This window comes from Homo sapiens, chromosome 15 (genome assembly GCF_000001405.40).
Source record: "Homo sapiens chromosome 15, GRCh38.p14 Primary Assembly".
Classification (NCBI taxonomy): domain Eukaryota; kingdom Metazoa; phylum Chordata; class Mammalia; order Primates; family Hominidae; genus Homo; species Homo sapiens.
Window position 1 is genome coordinate 83,759,484 of NC_000015.10, and position 20,911 is coordinate 83,780,394.

The following is a 20,911-nucleotide window of genomic DNA, read 5'->3' on the forward strand; positions in this document are numbered from 1 at the left end:
CAAAGTGCTGGAATTACAGGCGTGAGCCACTGGGCCTGGCCAGCAGTATTTTTTTAAATCAATGTTTTGACATGCACATAGTTTAATAAGTTTCTTGGGTTGGGTTCTAAGAAGAAGACCTGAGATGAAGATTCGTATCCAAGTGATTTATTCCAGTGGAACCCAAAAAGGAAGTGAGAGAAGTGGAAGACAGGAAGGAGCACAGCAAAGATGGGATTTAGGGTGAATCTCAGCCATTGCCTATCCTGTGGCAGCTCTGGAGGGTAAATTACTCAGAAGAGTTTGTCCTGCCTTAGGGCAGCTTGGCCTACATCTAAATTTTGAAATATATTAACATAAAGAAACATAATATATTTCATAATATGAAATATATTAACATAAAGATGTTTTTCATCCTCTTACCATTTTAGGGCCTACAGAATCTGCAGTGATATTCCACATTTCATTCCTAAAATTGATTTTTAGTGACTTTTCTCTCTTATTCTTTCATAGTCTTGCCAAGGAATTTAATTTTATTAGTCTTTTTTAATTTGTTGATCCTCTTGCTTATATTTTTGTTTTCCATTTCATAATTGCTGTTGTCATCCTTATTATTCTACTTTCTTTGGGTTGTATGTGTTGTCATTTTTCTGTCTTGAAATAGTTTAAGATCATTGATTTTTTCATCTTTCTTCTTTTCAAATATGTGCATTTAAAACTACAGATCCCCTTCCAAGCATAGCTTTAGCTGCTTTACTCACGTTTTGGTATGTAATATATTCATCTTCATTCATTAAGAGTATTTTCTAATTTTCATTGTGATTAATTTTTAACCTATGGAATGTGTTTGGACATTTTCTAGTTTTAAACTTGCTTTTTTGCTTTGTTGTCAGAGAAAAAACTTGTATTATTTCAATCTTTGAATTTTTGAGACTTTTCTATATGGCTCAGATCATGATAAATGTTTATAAACATTTCATAAATACAAAAAATATATATTCTGAGATGGTTAGTTGTAGCTTTCTATACAGTTACATAGTTTCAATTTGTAATTTAATTGTTTCCATATTCTGTATCGTTACTTATTTTTTTCACCTGCTTGATAAGTTAATGATAGTTGTGTTAAAACCTCCCACCATCATTATGGATTTTTCTATTTCTTCTTACAGTTCTGTCAGTTTTTGCTTTATATATTTTGTGGTTATGTTGTTAGGTACTTTCACTTTTAGAATTTGTTCCATCCTAGTGAAATCAAACTTCCAACAGTATGTAGCATCTCTCTGTCTTAAAGTCTACTTTGTCTAATTAGTGTGACTAAGCCAGATTTATTTTGGTTAGTAGGCTTATGGTAAGTATTTTTTTCAATCTTTTATTTTTAATCTTTCTGGCCATTATATTTAAGGAATGTCTCTTTTAAACAGAATATAACTGAATTTTTAAATTTTATCCTGACAATCTGTCTTTTAATTGGTGATTTATTCTATTTGGGTTTAATGTAATTGATATATGTGCATTTAAATCTTCCATTTTACTCTGAGCTTTTAAAATTTATCCATCTGCCTACATTCCTTTTTCTCTCCATTTTTGCCTTCTTTTGGATTGATTAAATGTGTTTTCTTATTATATCTTTTCCCATATACATTAATTTGGAAGTCATACACTCTTTTCTGTTTTTTTTAGTGGTAACTCTAGAGCTTAAAACATCTATCCTTGACTTATCAAAGTCGAATATTAATTGGTTCTTTTATCTTCTTCATGGATGATACAAGGACCTTAGGATACTTTAAGGCCATTTATCTCTCTTCTGACTCATAGGCTGTCATTGTCAGGTATGTTAATTCCATATAAATATTTAAAACTCCACAATCCATTATAATTGCTGTTTTACACAGTTGCTTTTCTTTTAATTTACCTACGTTTACCATTCTTATTTTTGCTCTTCATTTCTTTCATCATCTCCAAGCTTCCTTTAATCTTAAAAACACCATTTAATATTTTCTTTAAGACTGGTCTGCTGAAGATGAATTCTCTTTTGTCTGACAATCTCTTTCTTTTACTTTAATTTCCTGGAGGACATTTTTGCTTTTGTAGTTGTCCTCAATGGCATGGTTGATCTGTATTATCTAGCCCACCATTCCTCTCCATCAGACTTTTAAATTTGGCAACCTGCAGTTCTCTCTTTTTAATCTTACCTGATGTTGTGTTATATATGCTTCATGATGACTAACCCAAGAGCATAGATAATATCCTATTAAATCTTCCCTCATGTAAAGTATCTTTATGTTTAAGAATTTATTTTTAACAAAAATAAAGTCAGTATGAAACAAAGCTGTCATTGTATTTGAATGTTGTCTCTTGCTACAATCTGAGAGGACCTGGTTATGATTCTTAGAAAAGAACAAGCTACTTGTCTAGTAGGTATAAACACTGATTGCATTAATAGGGAAAAATAACCTAGATATTGTCAGGCATGATATTGGTTTGTATGGGGATTGTCACTGGAGATGTGGCACATGTGATTCCTCAGATGGTCTCCTGCAGGGCCCGTGGTTTCTTTTGTGTTAGTGCTTGCATAGGTACATCCCAGAATATGATTTTTTTTTTTTTGAGATGGAGTCTCGCTCTATCACCAGGCTGGAGTGCGGTGGCGTGATCTCAGCTCACTGCAACCTCCACCTCCTGGGTTCAAGTGATTCTCCTGCCTCAGCCTCCTGAGCAGCTGGGGCTACTGGTGTGAGCCACTGCGCTTAGCCAGAATATGATTCCTAAATACACTAATATCTTATGTCTGAAATACTGCAAAGTTCACATGTGGAAAGGGAGTAGAGTTTAGACACTGGGCCTCATGGAATGACATATATTCTGCTTCTGTGGACACACTCTGATCTTAGCGTGCAGTAAAGACAACTATCTTAGTCAATTTGTGCTGCTATAATGAAATACCTGAGACTGGGTAATTTGTAAAGAACAAAAATGTATTCTCTCATGTTCTGGAGGCTGGGAAGTCTGAGTTCAAGGCACCGGCAGGTTTGGTGTCTGGTGAGGGCTCTTCTCTCTGCTTCCAAGATGGTGCCTTGTTGCCATGTCCTCTAGAGGGCACGAACGCTATGTCCTCACGCGGTGGGAGGGCAGAAGAGAGGGAACTAACTCTCTCAAGCTCCTTATAAGGGCCCTAAAGGCTCCACCCTCATAACTTAATTACCTCCTAAAGGCCACACTTCTTAATACTATCACATTGGTGATCAACTTGCAACATATAAATTTCCAGGGACACATTCAGACCATAGCAAAAACCAAATGCCCTTTGTTTTATTTTTCAGCTACATGTTGTATGTATGCTTCTTACTTCTGGAAAATAATGCCGTTCTATAGCAATACTGTGAAGAATCTTATATCAGTTATAAATATACATGTCTTTTGATTTACTTCTTTTTTTTTTTTTGAGATAGAGTCTCACTCTGTCACCCAGGCTGGAGTGCAGTGATGCAGTCTCGGCTCACTGCAGCCTCTGTCTCCCAGGTTCAAGCAATTCTCGTGCCTCAGCCTCCTGAGTAACTGGGACTACAAGTGCACACCATTACACTTGACTAATTTTTGTATTTTTTTAGTAGAGACGGGGTTTCACCGTGTTGGCCAGGCTGGTCTCGAACTCTTGAACCTCAAGTGATTCCCCCCACCTCAGCCCCCTGAAGTGTTGGGATTACAGGCATGAGCCACCACACCTGGACTTGATTTACTTTCAAGCTGACAGTCATTTGTCACCAACAAGCTCCCAGTTTGATCTACAGAGGCCAGGAAAATAATACGAATCCTCACAGTGGCTGGATGGGGACTGGGCATATTAGAGGTCACATGCCCTTTAAAAATCGGATGGCCACACTCAGTTTTAATTATTGCCATGCTGTGATGTGAATTTTATTTTATTTTCCTGAGAAGTCAGAAATCTAGATTTTTTTTTTTTTTGAGACAGGGTCTCACTCTAGGCCTCAGAAATCTATATTTTTATGTGAAATCTTCGTATATTTAAACCTTAACAAATAATTCTTTTTTTTTTTTTTTTGAGACAGAGTCTCGCTCTGTCACCCAGGCAGGAGTGCAATGGCACGATCTCGGCTCACTGCAAGCTCTGCCTCCCGGGTTCACGCCATTCTCCGGCCTCAGCCTCCTGAGTAGCTGGGACTACAGGCGCCCACCACCATGCCTGGCTAATTTTTTTGTATATTTAGTAGAGACGAGGTTTCACCCTGTTAGCCAGGATGATCTCAATCTCCTGACCTCGTGATCCGCCCGCCTTGGCCTCCCAAAGTGCTGGGATTACAGGCGTGAGCCACCGCACCCGGCCTAAGAAATAATTCTTTTTAGGGGCTCGTTTGGCAGAATATACAATCATTGTTAAATAACTCAGACCTGCAGGCCAGATTCCTCCCAGAGACCAACAGCTTGCCCCCTTTATCTTAACCATTATCAGGTAAACTGCTCTCATTCTGTACACACAGGTGCTGAGAATCCTACCTCAAGGGTGGGCTTGAGGATGCTTGGGAAGCCTGAATGATATTGGCATTTGCCACAAATCATTTAATACAGAAGCCTGGGAGTCATCCTAACATCTCCTTTCTTCCTGCATCTGGTCAGCTGCCAGCTCCTATTGATTCCAGCACCTTTGAACTTTGCATCTATGCTCTCCTCCTCCAGACACTGGTAAATCTAGTCTAGGCTCTTGTCTCTTGCATGTCAGTGGCCTTCTAGCTATGCTCTCTGATGTGAGGCTTTGCTCCCTCAGTCCTTACCCACACTCCTGCCAGAGTAAGTTTTCCAAAATACAGTCTGCCTAAGTCACTCCTCTGCTTAAAAATAGTCCAGTGAGTCAATAAATTACTGTGCTGGAAAGCTTCTCTTTGCCCTCCAGATCCACTCTCCACCCTTCCCTGCCCCGCGCTCCACCCAATGGGAAGCTGACCTGCATGGACAGCATCAATGGTCTCCCTTGCCCTCTGGCTTCTGGTTGGGTTTGGCAAATAACGAGCACTGCAGGGCGACTGGAGAGAGGGAGGACAGAAGTGTGTTTGTTTACTTCCCCAGCTCTCTCTTTGTGGGTTGCTGTGGGCTCTGATTCTCAACCGAAGGCCTTAGTTCCTCTCAGGCAGCCCTGTATACACAGCCCCTGCCTGCCCTTGCCCCATCTAGCGTGCAGGGCCAAGGCAGATAATGAGAATCGTCAAATCCACAGAATCTGGCTGGCACCAGCCCCAGGGTGCTGCACCAGGCTTCATGGTTTCCCTGTACCCTGTCCACTACCTTGGTAAATAGCGTGTTTTAAAAATGCTTCCCAAGCAGGATGGCAAGTGTGTTAGTGTCTGAAATAATGAAAAATGTTGTGTGCTCAGCATATGGGATATGTGGTGCTAGCAGGAGCCACCAGAGATGAAGCTGAACAAAGGGTAGGATAGGGCACAAACAGCCTAGAGGAGCAGAATGTGTGTCCTGAGGAATTAGTGAAGGGCTTTAAAGGTGGTAAAATAATTAGGAGCACATTGACTAGGAAAGTGTCAACCAAATCCTAGAGGCCATCAACTGTCAGGGTAATGAGTTTTGGAGCAGCAGAGGGTAGAATGGACTGAAGAAGAGAGAAGTAAAACACAGAGGTACGGAGCATTTCTCAACAGTACCTAGCACACAGCTTTAGATATATGGGTGTTGAATATATCCTGGTCAGACTGAATTGTTGAGTCTGTGTGACAGCTTGAGTGACATTTTTATGCCGTTCACCCAATTCATATTTTAAAATTTCTTTTGTTAAAGACCTTAAGGTAGTATTAACCTGAAAGAATGTATTTACTGTTAACTAAATCTGGGTCGTTTGAGATCCCCTTAAATAACCTTTGTGGTAACATTGGAATGAACATTTATTTGATGTCTGGGAAGTAATATCCCAGTGGAACTCATTTTATTTTGGGTTGTTTTTAATATGGAGCTGTTAATATAGCATTTCCAATAAGTGACCTTATATGTGAAATCTGTGTTTAATTACTAATGTTTTAGCAAGACTAGTAGAACTGTACTATTCATTATAAGTCACAGATTTAAGAACTTGTCAGGAAAATATTTTATGATTTGATTTATGCCTGGGGATCCAAGAAAGGCAAGCAGTACTTGAGTCTTTATGAGATGGTGAACATACTTATTCCTACAATATTTTTGGCTTTTACCAACCCTATTATATAATGAGTAAACAATATCTTTTTTGGAATTTTTCATCCAAAATATTCCCTAGCTAGAGCTTTACTTAGGAAAATATGATTTCCTAAGAGATCCTTAAGCCTGATAATTTGAACCAAACAACACAAAGTGCATACTGCTTCTTTGGAAGTGTTTTCATAGCTTTCCTTTTAGTGTTTTCCTTTTCCCTTTAAAAAAAAAGAACTTTTATTGGGTGTTTTATTGTGCAAACTATACATGTTTGTCATATAACATTAGAAATTATAGATGATCATAAAAGAAGAAAGTAAAAAGTGTTTGTAATTCCATCACAATTAGAAAACAGAGGTGAGCACAAAATAAGGACTCACATGTAACCTATCATACGGAAGAAGGTGATAGGGATACATGAGGTGCTTCCAGCTTCCAGCAGGGTTGGTATGTTCAGTGGAAAGTCTATCCCAGCTCTCCTAACCAAGGTACAAATTGCTCCTGTTTCAGGGTCTCCTTCCCCTGGGCCCCTTGTGTCTGTTGCTCTTGACAACCAAAGGTTGCCATTGCCTCACCACAGCCCTTGTCCCTCTCACCTGATGCTCATTGATTTGTGAGCTACTTGAGGGCCAGATCCACATTGTATTCACAGGGCACTGAGCACAGAGCCTTGAACTTAGCAAGCTCTTGGTATAGTTTGTGTGAGAAAATGAACGAATGCATGTGAGTTCATGAACATCAGTCAGAAATGCGAATTCCTCATGAAAGAAGCTAGATAAAATGAAATACTTTTGAAAAGCAGAAGTGTAGCTCTACTTGCAATATAGAGGGGGAAAAAAGTAAAAGACTTCATAGAGATATCGAAAGAATGTTGTGGTCAAGCAGATCACAGCAGCAGATGTATTTGATCCAAGAGGCGAAATGCTAACTGTGAGTGATGATAGCTGGGCTGCTGTATTTGACTGGATTCCTGGTCGTGAAAGGAAGTGGAGCATCAGTGGGGAAAACACACAGATGTCCATAAAGAAAATGCAGGCTTTGTCTGGGGTAAGACAGAAAGCGCTTCTGCCTAGGCCCCTTCTTTAAGAAGAAAATAACTTTTATTGGATGTTTTATTGTAAAATTATACACGTTCATTGTATGACATTAGAAATTATAGATGATGGCTGGGCGTAGTGGTTCATGCCTGTAATCGCAGCACTTTGGGAGGCCTAGGCGGGCGGATCACCTGAGGTCAGGAGTTCAAGACCAGCATGGCCAACATGGTGAAACCCTGTCTCTACGAAAATACAAAAACAGGCCGGACGTGGTGGCGAGTGCCTGTAATCCCAGCTACTTGAGAGGCTGAGGTGGGAGAATCGCTTGAACCGGGGAGGCAGAGGTTGCAGTGAGCCAAGATTGTGCCACCGCACTCCAGCCTGGGTGACAGAGTAAGACTTCGTCTCAAAAAGAAAAATAAAAGAAATTATCGATGAGCCTTGGACACACATGGTTCTCAAAGCCACAGTTGTTCACCTGCAAAATGGGGATGGTGATATCTATCTTAAAGGGCTTGCTGAGAAGGTTAGAGAGAAGGTGGGAAAAGTACTGGCAGGCAGTACTCACGCTGTGCATTAATAATGGTTAACAGTGCTTGCGTTATGTAGGACAAGCTTGTTCAGGTCTTCTTCCATGCTCTGCCTCAGATTCTGGCCCCAGACAGGGTCACAGAGTGACATGATATTGATTGAAGCACACTTGGATTGGGTCCAAATAACAACTTACCATATAAAATAATAACAACATGGAATTTAAATAATTACTTGAGACAACCTAAAGAGATGTTTGAACAGGGGGAATTGGGAGCAGCTATACTCAACTGACAAACACAGACATTCACCTGGGTTACAATCAGGCCAAAGAGCCAGCTGATATCAGTCAGCTGTATTTTATTGTCATTAACCTTCAGAGCTGGGGCTAACCAATGTGGAGCTGCTACATACCGCTTCTCTCAGGAGGTTTACCACCACCATGCAGCCCAAGAATACAGGTTCCACCCTGCCGGATCCAGTTCCTTCTGATGGCTGATTTCTTCCCTCCCCACAAACCTTTCTGCCTCCTGACATTTGATGACGGTAATTGGTATTATTTCATATTTTTATTGTAACATTAAACTGTGTTCACAGACTCCAAGTCTGATTAGTTGGCTGCTTACTTGGCATTATGGTCGGCTTACTAGTTTAAAAAGCAGAAATATGCATTAATGGAATGCTGTAAGATTAGAGAGCTATGTCCCACACATTTATCAGGGACTTGAGTGAAGACACGGAAGCTGCAGAGCTGAGCACAGTGGCTCGTAGATAGGGTGACAGGATCAGGGTTCAAACAGATCTCAACAGGCTGGTATTCTGGGCCAAAACCAACAAGAGGAAATTCAGTAGTGATGAATGTTAAGTCTTGCATAAGTACAAATGGGAGAGAGCTGGTTCTCCCATCATTGTTTTGAAAAAGACACATTATTTTTGAAGAGGAAAAACAATTGCTTACCCTTATTGAGATACTCACCAACTGCATGCGTGGAGATGCTGCCTGTACTTTATATGTGTTATTTTATTTAAATCTTGTTTGGGTAAAGATTATCATCTCCATTTCATAGATGAGTTTTAGAAAGTTTAAGAAACTCAGAGTCAAACAGCTTTTAACTATTATGTGATGCTGTCTCCAGAGCAGATTCCAACAAATGGGCTGGCTGAAAAACGAAGGAATGGAGGGAGGGAGAGAAGAAGGAAACTTAGGTTTTATCTGAAGAAACCTGGATCATAGGTGCAATGTATAGTCTGTGTTCTTAGATTCAGTGTTGTATTCTGGACCCTACATTTTAAGACTTAAAATGTGCAAATTTCGATGTGCGCCAAGAGAGAGCATAGTTGCAAAGGATCTGGGAACGTAGAAGGAACTAGGAGGCCTTCAGAAAGCTTGAGAAGGACTCTTCTGTAGAAGAGGATCAAGGCTCTGTCCACTGCTCTAGAGGCATGGAAGCTCCAGGGAAGCAGGTTCTGTTTCACTGCAAGGAAGACGACGCAAACATACATTTTCAGCAATGGCCCAAGTGGCGCTTCATTCTGCTTCAGTGGAGTTATTTCTGAATGTCTGTGTTATCATTATGCTGCTAGGATGAAAGGGAAGAGAGCAGAACTGGGTGGAAATCTGGGATATTATTGCTATTACTCTCCAGAGAAATAATACATTAAAAAGGCAGAAGGGCTGGCTGCTGGAGACGGCATTGGGGTTTCAAAACAAAATCCAAGCGTCTTCCTGGCTGAGGAGAGGAGAAACACTCAAGGACCCCTCTTGAGGTGCCATTCGTGCTCTACTTTCTTAGAGGGAAAATATCTTACCTATCCAATCAGAGAAGCCAAATGCTTGCACTTATAACATGCCTATTTTAGTTATTTTAGAATCAAGATTCTTTTTTTTTTTTGTAAGTTAAGGTAGAGAAGTTATGGAAAGAAACCTGATTCTAACTATGAACTGAACAGATGGAATAGTGGGAATAAAAACAAATTAAAACAGTATTGCAAAAACTCTCAACTTTCATTTAAAAATATATATGATGATGTTTTTCAACTTTTCACATTCAACCTTTTGGTATATCGAGTGACAAAATGAAAAATCAATTTCAGCTGTGTATATTTTAAACATTTACCTAAATGATTTGGACTTACCCAACCTAAAAGTCCAGATGAATGTATTAAACTGCTTATTGTATCTTTTGTGAATTAAAACTTTATTTTTTATTATGTTATAGACAGGGCACAGTTATGTTTGGTGACGTTTACTATAGAAAATTGAACTGAACAGTGGTCTAATTAGAACAGTAAATAGTATGGGTTTAATTAGCCCCTATTCCTGATGACAGATTTGATCAGTCACCAGATATTTATCCTTTCCTTTCACTTGACTGTTACTGAAATATTGCCTCTAGCAGGACTGCTTACTGTGCTATAAATAGGTAGCTTGGCAAGAAGCCATAAAGCCCATTGACCAGTGAGACTTGAGTGAAAATTATTGGAAAACCCCCTCTTTGCTTCCAGTCATTATTTCTTCATTTCACTTTTGAAGGTCCTTTCCACAGGTCCCTCTTTTAATTTAATTTTTCTTTTTTTTTTTTTTTGGTTAGATGAGGTAACTTGCCTAAGGGCTTAAGGAAACCTTTGCAGTATCTAGTTCAGTCACATGCTGCAGTTTATTAGTATGTCACAGTTTCTTTCATAAACTTTGCTGTTCTCCAGCTTAGAACTTACCTATTAAATTCTGTCTGACTTGAACTTTTCTGTACACCAAGAATATGTGGTTTTTGTTTGTTTGCTTCCTTGTTTTTAATTAAGGTATGATGTGTTTTATTAAGAAAAGTCTACAAAATGCAGAGAAACAGCAACAACAACAAAAATACGTTAAAGTCACCCAAATCCCTCACACATAGAGGTAGCAATGGTAATATTTTAATTAACCTCTCACTCCTCTCCCTATGCATGTACAAAGTATACATGCATGAAAAATGATATGGATTTAATATGATTATCTAATGATTGTCTTTTTCCCCACCCCAATATTTTTAAAATAGAAATTTCAAAAACCATGAAAGTTCAAATAGTAATAAAACTGGCATTTAACAATTTATCATATTCTGGGTGGGACTAGGGAAAATTAAACATTCAGTTGAAGTTCATTTCCTGTCTTTTCCCAACAACATTCGTTCCTAGTCCTACTTACTCCATTCTTAGAGCTAATTTGGTATGTTTCCAGCCTATATACCTCCAGCCTACATACGCGTTCTTTTACTGGTACATTTTGCGTATATACGCCTATGCCTATAGCTTTATCTGTAGAGAAGAGATAGAAAATGATATATGTGTTTTTATTTTAATGTAATTAAACCTATCAGTCTTTTCCCTTATAATTTCTACTTTTATTGCTATATCTAAGATAGTCTTTCCTATACAACTATTGGTGTAGGTATATCCAAGATTAATCTATTAATCTATAATATTTCTAATATTTTATGGTTTCAGTATTTTAACATACATTTCTAATAGATCTGGAATTTATTTTGGTATATTCTATGAAGAAGTTATCTATGATTTTTAAAAACACAAAACACGCCGGGCATGGTGGCTCATGCCTGTAATCCGAGGACTTTGGGAGGCTGAGGCGGGCGGATTATGAGATCAGGTTCGAGACTGTCCTGGCTAACACGGTGAAACCCCATCTCTACTAAAAATACAAAAAATTAGCCGGGTGTGGTGGCAGGCACCTGTAGTCCCAGCTACTCAGGAGGCTGGGCCAGGAGAACTGCTTGAACCCACCCAGGAGGTGGAGGTGGTAGTGAGCTGAGATCACATCACTGCACTCCAGCCTGGGTGACAAAGTGAGCCTCTATGTCAAAAACAAAACAAAACAAACAAAAAGCCCACAAAACATTTGTCACATTGATTTGTGGTGCTATACTGTGTCCTTATACTTGATCTGTTTCTGGACTCTTTTTTTTTTTTTTTTTATTTTAATAGGTCCATTTGTTTATTGCTGTGCCAATTCTCTACTCTTAATTGAGACAATTTTCCTCTCATTTTACTTCTTTTAGAGTTCTTTTAATTGTGTTTAAAAAAACTTGTAACATGAGATCTACCCTTTTAATAAATTTAGAAGCGTATAGTACAGTATTGGTAATTATAAGTACAATGTTGAAAAGCAGATCTCTAGAACTTTTTAATTTTGCATGGTTGAAACTTTATACCCATTGGACAGTAACTCTTCATTTCCTTATCACCCCAGTCCCTGGCAACCACTATTGTACTTTCTGCTTCAATGAGTCGGTCTATGTTAGATACCTCATATAAATGGAACCATGCAGTATTTGTCTTTTGTGACTGGCTTGTTTCACATAACCTAATGTCCTCAAGATTCATCCATATTGTGGCATGTGATAGGCTTTCCTTCTTTTTAATGGCTCCATAGCATTTCGTTGTGTGTATACCACATGTTGTTTATCCATTCATCTGTTGATGGACATTGGGTTGCTTCCATGTCTTGGCTATTGCAAACAATGAGTGTGCAGATATCTCTTTGAGATCCTGATTTCAGTTCTTTTGGATAAATACCAAGAAGTTGGATTGCTGGATCATATAGTAATTCTATAGTAATTCTATCTTCCTTCACAATTTTTTAGCTTTTTTTCTTTTTTTTTTCTGAGACAGAATCTCGCTCTGTCACCCAGCCTGGAGTGCAGTGGCACGATCTCAGCTGTCACCTCTGCCTCCCGGGTTCAAGCAATACTGGTGCCTCAGCCTCCCGAGTACCTGGGACCACAGGCATGTGACACCACGTCCAGCTAGTTTTTTTGTATTTTAGTAGAGATGGGGTTTTGCCATGTTGCCCAGGCTGGTCTTGAACTCCTGAGCTCAGGAAATCTACCCACCTTGGCCTCCCAAAGTGCTAGGATTATAGACATGAGCCACCACGCCCGGCCTCCTTTGGCTCTTATAGGTATTTATGCCACTAGATGAACTTTAGAAACATTTGTTATGTTTCAAAAATTTTTCTTTGGGGATTTTGATGGGACTTGCTGTAAACTTATAGATAAACTTGGAGAGAAGTAGCATTTTACAGTATTGAGTCTACTCATTCAGGACTATGGTTGTTTCTTCATTTATTCAAGTATATTTTAGACCCCTTAGTAAAGTTTTGTAACTTAATAATGAGCTTTATTTCTTTTCAGGTCTATACCTACATCTATGTACTTTTTACTTGTAATTTCCCTTCTTCTCTGTAGTATTCTGAATTAAGTCAATGGTGGAAAGTCTAGGAGACCAATTAAACCAAACTGTACTCATAATTGACTCTTCCCTATTTTCTTGGATTCAAAACCTTTATAACTTGGCCAACTATGTTCATATGACTTTGTTTTCTAGGAATGGAGATTCTCTCAGGAGGTTCCACAAATCCTTATGCAAGGTTTCTTGGGAGTTACCGCCAGTCTGCCTGACACACAAGCAAGTCAGAATTTCACTCATGAGCACTTCTTTTTTTTTTTTTTTCTGAGATAGAGTCTTGCTCTGCTGCCCAGGCTGGAGTGCAGTGGCACAATCTTGGCTTACTTCAACCTCCGCCTCCCTGGTTCAAGTGATTCTCCTGCTTTGGCCTCCCGAGTAGCTGGGATTACAGGCACGCACCATCACACTCAGCTGATTTTTGTATTTTTGGTAGACGTGGTTTAGGCTCAAGCAGGGTCCCTGCTATGTAAGTTAGAAAACAGAATAATATAATTGATATTTAGCCAATTTATTTAAATTTAGCAATGATAAAATTTCAGATATAATACTGAGCTTAAAAGCTATCTCGACAAAACCTTAAGGTGGAAAGGCATGCATGTGTCAACTGCTTTTCATATAAACCTGTCTTTTTTTTTCATGCAGTCATTCCAAAGCTAAGCATTTTTGGGTAACATTGGTCTTTGTGAAGAGCTTAGAAGATGACTCTGGATTTGGGAGGCTGAGGCGGGCAGATCACCTGAGGTTAGGAGTTCAAGACCAACCTGGCCAACATGGCAAAACCCTGTCTCTACTAAAAATACAAAAGTTAGGTGTGGTGGTGGGCGCCTGTAATCCCAGCTACTCAGGAGGCTGAGGCAGGAGAATTGCTTGAACCCAGGAGGTGGAGGTTGCAGCGAGCCGAGATTGTGCCATTGCACTCCTGGGCAATAAGATCGAAGCTCTGTCTCAATTAAAAAAAAAAAGGTGACTCTGGAATAACTGGGGAAGATTTGGGATATTTCTACCACATTTGCCTATACTTTATTGTGTGGTTTTTTTTTTGTTTGTTTGCTTTTTAACATCTAGACCTCAAGAAACACTCGTTCAGATGAAGACAAAGATGGCAACTGGGATGCTTGGGGCGACTGGAGTGACTGCTCCCGGACCTGTGGGGGAGGAGCATCATATTCTCTGCGGAGATGTTTGACTGGAAGGTTAGTGGTGGCTTCACTTGCTCCTGCATGTGGAATGTGCCAGTGCCTCTGGATGGGTGGAGAGGAGAGATAACTTTATATGGCTTTGGAATGTACTGTGATGATGGTGTAACGTTTGCTTTGTCTAAATATTAGTCAACCTAGGTTAACATATTTAAGCAGCCATGGTCCCGTTTTCGTGGGTGTGGCCATGTTGCGCACAGGACCCAGGAGCACTGGACACTTTGGGCTTTGAGGAAAGGAAATCCTGGCACTTTAAGTCACTGGTTTAAAGTTGTCAAGAGTTGGAGCAAGAGGTCAAGTCTTCTGAGTTCTGCCCTTGGGTTGCTGCAACTTAGTCCAGTTCTTGTTCATCTATTCTGAGCAACCCGTCGATTAGGAACATGATGCAAGTTCTGTTTTCACATTTTAGATATGTTTATGTTAAATAATGTTTGCAAAAATGTAAAATCAGCTTATTTTTAAAAATCTGTAAATTTGTAATAAGCCTGTGCTTATCATTGTTTTTGAGACACTTCAAGGTAATGCTTTATGGGACAGTTTAATTCCCAGTCAAGGATTTTGCATCAGCTCTTAGGTAAGAGAGAGCCCCAGATTGATGGAATCTGATGTGCTAGTCTTGTACAAAAGAAGATTCCAAGATTATGTCAGTCATCTTCAGATTTGGGATATTGTTAGGCAAAAGAGTAAATTGGCCTTTGCCGATTAGCTTCAAGATACAGAGTAGAAATGCAGGGAGAGCATATTTTGGCTGGAGTTTGGATTTTGTTGAGGTCACTGTTCTACCATACATTAAACAGTGACCAAGTATGTCCTCCAGTTTCCTTGAGACATTGCAGAGCAGGGCAGATGAGAGATTGTACATGTGGCCTTTGAGAAGAAAGACTCACCGGTCTGCTCCAGGAAGGCCTGGGAAGGTTGCTGGAGGTACTGTGGTAGCATTCCCCCAGGGCGAGTTCTAACTCAGAGCATGGAAGCTTCAGTAAAGCATTGGAGAACTAAATCCAGGGATTATTCTTGCAAAGAGAATGTGTTATGCCTGCTTCCCCATATTTCCACCTTGGTGAGCAGATATAGGCCCTGGTATTCTGTGTCATGCTGTGTAGAAGAATGATGGGGTATCATGTTGTTTTGGGATATATTTATTCTGCCAAGGAGGCTGCAATAGGAGAGCTACACCCTGTGGGCAAGGGGAGGAGGCTTTTTTTTTTTTTTGGAGATGGAGTCTCACTCTTGCCCAGACTGGAGTGCAGTGGTGGGATCTGGGCTCACTGAAACCTCTGTCTCCCAGGTTCACACAATTCTTCTGCCTCAGCCTCCCAAGTAGCTGGGATTACAGGTGCCTGCCACCATGCCTGGCTAATTTTTGTATTTTTAATAGAGATGGGGTTTCACCATATTGGCCAGGCTGGTCTTGAACTCCTGACCTGAATGATCCATCTGCCTCGGCCTCCCAAAGTGCTGGGATTACAGGCTTGAGCCACCATGCCCAGCCAGGGGGCTTCTTATGTCAAGGGTGAGTTCTTTCCCACTGCTGGCCAGCCACATGGGGGAGAAGTTTCCAGCCTGGGAATGAGTGGGGAAGGGAGAACTTTGACATCTCTTTCTAAACCTCAAGTCTCAGAAGTCTGAATAATTTGCAATTAGTGGTAGGGTTAGAGTGGGAAAGGTGTGGGATTTATTTGCATTGGTCTTTTTTTTTTTTCTAGTACGTACTTGCGTTTGTTAAAGAGAATTTAGAGGAATATATTAAGGACCATGAATAACCACTTTCATCCTATTGTCATACAACTAAAATGTTCGCATATTTATTTATTATTTGGTTCATTTTTAAAATTTCTTTGATTTTGCTTGGAACATAATTTTGCCAAGTGATATATCTCCAGAAGGCTGAAGGTAGGGAAGGGCAGTTGTTCAACTTCTTCCATCTTTTCTACTCGTACTCAGAAGGGGAGACTTGGGCAAAAGGAGAGGAAAGGGAGGCAGGAGAGTTCTTGGCTTTATTGTTGAGAGCAGGTATTGGTGTTCTCTGTTTGGCAAGTGTCTTAAGCTGACTGTTGTGAGCACTTTGATGGATTTTCTGAGAAATTGCCTTTGCCCTCCCAAATTCCTTGGGATTTCTTGCGTCCAATTCCCTTGAAATGTGCTATTCACAACACTTTGGCTTGGTAATATTGCTCTTTCCTCAGCTCTGAGACTGCTAGACATGCCCCCAGCTTCTCCCTATTTACATGTGCTAACCCCTCTGTGGCCATCTTGGTAAGTTCCTAAGACAACCACATGCTGGCACTCATGCACGTGCCCACATCTGGTTCACAGGAAACCCTCACGTAAACTTTGCTAAACAAACTCTTCAAGTCCAGGGAGCCAGTGCTGCAACACCTACTCTGCTTACATGGGCTGCTGCAGCTGTTCTCTCAGCCCTTAAATTTCTCAGGTGTGAATTAAACACCAAGCAACTGTTGGTGACACATATTGAACTCTTCAAGTGGTATCCTTAAAATTTCTTCCTCTTGATTTGGGGTTAGCAGACTGAAGCCCTCATCCCTTCTCCTTGATGGTGCAGAATGAGAGGTAGGCTCACAGCACACCTTTCTCAATGAAATCCTCAGAAGTTCTTCCTGTAAGTCTCTGGCTCCAGAACCTTTTAATTCCCTTGATGTGGGTAAGGAGTTTAACTCCAGTGAATTAAACTAACACATATCCTGCCTTCAAGGTTCTTATATCTAAGGAGACAAACAATAAACAAACAATCAAATTATATATAATTAAAAATTATGTCACTGGCCAGGCACAGTGGCTCACGCCTGTAATCCCAGCACTTTGGGAGGCCGAGGCGGGTGGATCACCTGAGATCAGGAGTTTGAGACCAGCCTGACCAACATGGAGAAAGCCCATCTCTACTAAAAATACAAAATTAGCTGGGCATGGTGGCACATGCCTGTAATTCCAGCTACTGAGGAGGCTAAGGCAGGAGAATTGCTTGAACTCGGGAGGTGGAGGTTTCAGTGAGCTGAGATTGCGCCATTGCACTCCAGCCTGGGCAATAAGGGCGAAACTCCGTCTCAAAAAAAAAAAATTGTGTTAAGAAAATCCATAAAATGGTCAGGGAAGCCCTCTGTGCTGGGGCATGTTTATGCTGAGATATTACTGCTAAGAAGAAATCAGTTATGTGATGGGAAGGGTTATGAGACCAAAAAAGTTCAGATAGTGGGAGCAGCATATGTAAGTATCCTGAAGCAGGAAATGAAAACAGCCTTTTATGCCTGCAGAACAATTAGATGAGAGTGAGCAGAATGGCAGTCCCCTGCTGACTGCCACTGCAGACAGAGCCTTGGTGGGCACAGAGTCAGCCAGCATCCCACCCTGGGCTAACACTGTGCAGAGAACAGTGGATCCTACCCCACCCTGAGCAACCACTCCTACTTGTGGGGCACACAGAAGGCACTCAGACCTGCATCTGCCAGTGCCCCGCCCCTGAGCCAACACCACCTCCAGCATGACTGAACACACAGTCACCAACAGGGGCCTCCTGCCCACCCCTAGCTGCACTGCCTCTGCCATTGTGGTGAATGCCTACAGAGAGGCAGGACCCCCGGCACCTGGTAGCACTCCACCGTAGCTGCCACTACCACTGCTGCTGATATGTGCAAATGAGTATGGATCCCACTGTCATCAAGCTGTGAAATGCTTTGGCTGACATCAGCCATCAGAGTGTAATGACCGGCAGTCCAAAAACATTTTGGCCCCTGCAGTGCAGTGGATTCCTAACATCAAGGAGCCAGAGAACAAAGTTGGGGCCCAATACAAGTACCCCAGAATTAGAACATCCAGTCCAGGTATTGGGAGCTGAGTGTTGGCCCCCTAAAATCTTTCATAAATGAAGCCAGTTGGCTGAATCCACCTTATACTAGAATCAAGCCCTCAAGGTCATTAAAAAAATAGGATAAAAGAAACAAAATTATGCAAAAAGTCAGCAACCTCGAGGATTAAAGGAAGATAAGCCCACAAAGATGAGAAAGAATCAGCACAAGAACCCTAACAACTCAAAAAGCCAGAGCACCTTCTTTCCAACAGATGACCACCTTGCCTCTCCAGCAAGTGTTCTGAACCAGGTTGAGATGGATGAAGTGACAGAAACAGAGTTCAGAATATGGACAGAAATGAAGATCCTTGAGCTATAGCAGTATGTTGAAACCCAGTCCAAGGAAGCTAAAAACCATTATAAAACAATACTGGAACTGGCAGACCAAATAACTAGTATAGGAGTGTGTAACTGAACTGAGAGAGCTGAAAAACACCATACAAGAATTTCGTAATGCAATCACAAGTATTAATAGCAGAATAGACCAAGTGGAGGAAAGAATCTAAGAGCTTGAAGACTGGCTTTCTGAAATAAGACAGTCAGACAAGAATAGAGAAAAAAGAATGAAAGGAATGAACAAAACCTTTGAGAAATATGAGATTATGTAAAGAGACCAAATCCATGACTTACTGGTGTCCCTGAAAAAGAGGGGGATAATGGAACCAACTTGGAAAACATGTTTCAGGATATCATCCATGAGAACTTCATGGATGAACCCAACTAGCTAGACAGGCCAACATTCAAATTCAGGAAATGCAGAGAACCCCAGTAAAATACTTCCCAAGAAGATCATCCCAAGAGACATAGCCATTAGATCCTCCAAGGCTGAAATGAGAAAAAATGTTAAAGACAGAGAGAAAGGTCAGGTCACCTACAAAGGGAAGTCCATTGACTAACAGCAGACTTCTCAGCTGAAACCTTACAAGCAAGAAGAGATTCTGGGCCAGTATTCAACATTCTTAAAATAAATTCCAACCCAGAATTTCATATCCAGCCAAATTAAGCTTCATAAGTGAATGATGAATATGATCCTTTTTAGACAAGCAAATGCTGAGATAATTTATTACCATCAGATCTGCCTTATAAGAGCTCCTGAAGGAAGCACTAAATATGGAAAGGAAAGACCATTACCAGCCACTACAAAAACATACTGAAGAATACAGACCAGTGACACTATAAAGCAACCACATAAACAAGTCTGCAAAATAACCAGCTAACATCATAATGACAGGATCAAATCCGTACATATCAATACTAACCTTGAATGTAAGTGGGCTAAATGCCCCAATTAAAAGACACAGAGTAGCAAGCTGGATAAAGAACCAAGACCCATTGGTATGCTTGTCTTCAAGAGACCCATCTCACATGCAGTGACACACATAGGCTCAAATAAAGGGATGGAGAAAAATCTACCAAAAAAATGGAAAACAGAAAAAAAGCAGAGGTTGCAATCCTGGTTTCACACAAAACAGACTTTAAACCAGAAAAATTTAAAAAGACGAAGGGTATTACTTAATGGTAAAGGGTTCAATTCACAAGAAGACCGAACTATCCTAAATATATATGCACCCAACACAGCAGCACCCAAATTCATAAAGCAAATTCTTAGAGACCTTCAAAGAGATTTAGACTCCCTCACAGTAATAATAAAAGACTTTAACACCCCACTGACAATACTAGACAGATCATCAAGACAGAAAATTAACAAAGATATTCAGGACCTGAACTCAGCACTGGATCAAATGAACCTGATAGACATCTACAGAACTCTCTACCCCAAAACAACAGAATATACATTCTTCTCATCACCACATGGCACTTACTCTAAAATTGATCACACAATTGAAAGTAAAACACTCCTCAGCAAAGGCAAAAGAACTGAAATCATAAAAAACAATCTCGGCTGGGTGCAGTGGCTCATGCCTGTAATCCCAGCACTTTGGGAGGCCGAGGTGGGAGGATCACAAGGTCAGGAGATCGAGACCATCCTGGCTAACACAATGAAACCCCGTCTCTACTAAAAATACAAAAAATTAGCCGGGCGTGGTGGCAGGTGCCTGTAGTCCCAGCTACTCTGGAGGCTGAGGCAGGAGAATGGTGTGAACCTGGGAGGCAGAGCTTGCAGTGAGCCGAGATCGCAACACTGCACTCCAGCCTGGGCAACAGAGCAAGACTCCATCTCAAAAAAAAAAAAAAAAAAAAAGGAAAAACAATCTCTCAGACCACAGCACAATCAAATTAGAAAACAAGACTAAAAAAATCACTTAAAACCATACAATCACATGGAAATTGAATAACTTGCTTCTGAATGACTTTGGGGTAAATAATGAATTTAGGGCAGAAATCAAGAAGTTATTTGAAACTAATGAGAACAAAGATACAACATGCCAGAATTTCTGGGACACAGCTAAGGCAATGTTAAGAGGGAAATTTGTAGCACTAAATGCCCACATCAAAAAGTTAGAAAGATCTCAATTTAACAACATAACATCACAACTAAAAGAACTAGAGAACCAAGAGCAAACCAATCCCAAAGCTAGCAGAGACAAGAAATAAATCAGAGCTGAACTGAAGGAGATTGAGAGACAAAAAAACCATTCGAAAGATCAATGAGCCGGGTGTAGTGGCTCACGCCTGTAATCCTAGAGCTTTGGGAGGCTGAGGCGGGTGGATCCCCTGAGGTCAGGAATTCAAGACCAGCCTGACCAACATGGTGAAACCCTGTCTCTATTAAAAATACAAAAATTAGCTGGGCATGGTGGCGGGCACCTGTAATGCCAGCTACTTGGGAGGCTGAGGCAGGAGAATCACTTGAATCCAGGAGGCAGAGGTTGCAGTGAGCCAAGATCCTGCCATTGCACTGCAGCCTGGGCGACAAG

General features: G+C 40.7%; 1 protein-coding gene across 12 annotated transcripts in view, besides 4 other annotated features; it reads left to right on the plus strand.

The window, feature by feature from the left end:
- The window catches only part of ADAMTSL3 (ADAMTS like 3), a 385,720-nt gene that overhangs the window by 105,361 nt on the left and 259,448 nt on the right, over positions 1–20,911 (plus strand). For all 12 annotated transcript variants that reach the window (XM_011521823.3, XM_017022434.2, XM_011521822.3 and 9 more), the window contains exon 4: positions 14,040–14,167. In XM_011521823.3, coding sequence (XP_011520125.1) covers positions 14,040–14,167 — 128 coding nt within the window. The remainder of the gene's footprint in view (positions 1–14,039; positions 14,168–20,911) is intronic.
- Positions 16,513–16,562: an enhancer, noted in NCBI's record as "active region_9974". NCBI's record gives its function as "activates an Ori minimal core promoter by ATAC-STARR-seq in GM12878 lymphoblastoid cells {active_cell/tissue: GM12878}" and the evidence as "EXISTENCE:reporter gene assay evidence [ECO:0000049][PMID:35858748]".
- Positions 16,513–16,727: a biological region, named in NCBI's record as "ATAC-STARR-seq lymphoblastoid active region 9974".
- Positions 16,558–16,727: an enhancer, noted in NCBI's record as "experimental_41630 CRE fragment used in MPRA reporter constructs". NCBI's record gives its function as "activates a minimal promoter by MPRAs in K562 erythroleukemia cells, with activity observed for the introgressed 15:84444878 variant allele {active_cell/tissue: K562}" and the evidence as "EXISTENCE:reporter gene assay evidence [ECO:0000049][PMID:34662402]".
- Positions 16,824–16,993: an enhancer, noted in NCBI's record as "experimental_41632 CRE fragment used in MPRA reporter constructs". NCBI's record gives its function as "activates a minimal promoter by MPRAs in K562 erythroleukemia cells, with activity observed for the non-introgressed 15:84445144 variant allele {active_cell/tissue: K562}" and the evidence as "EXISTENCE:reporter gene assay evidence [ECO:0000049][PMID:34662402]".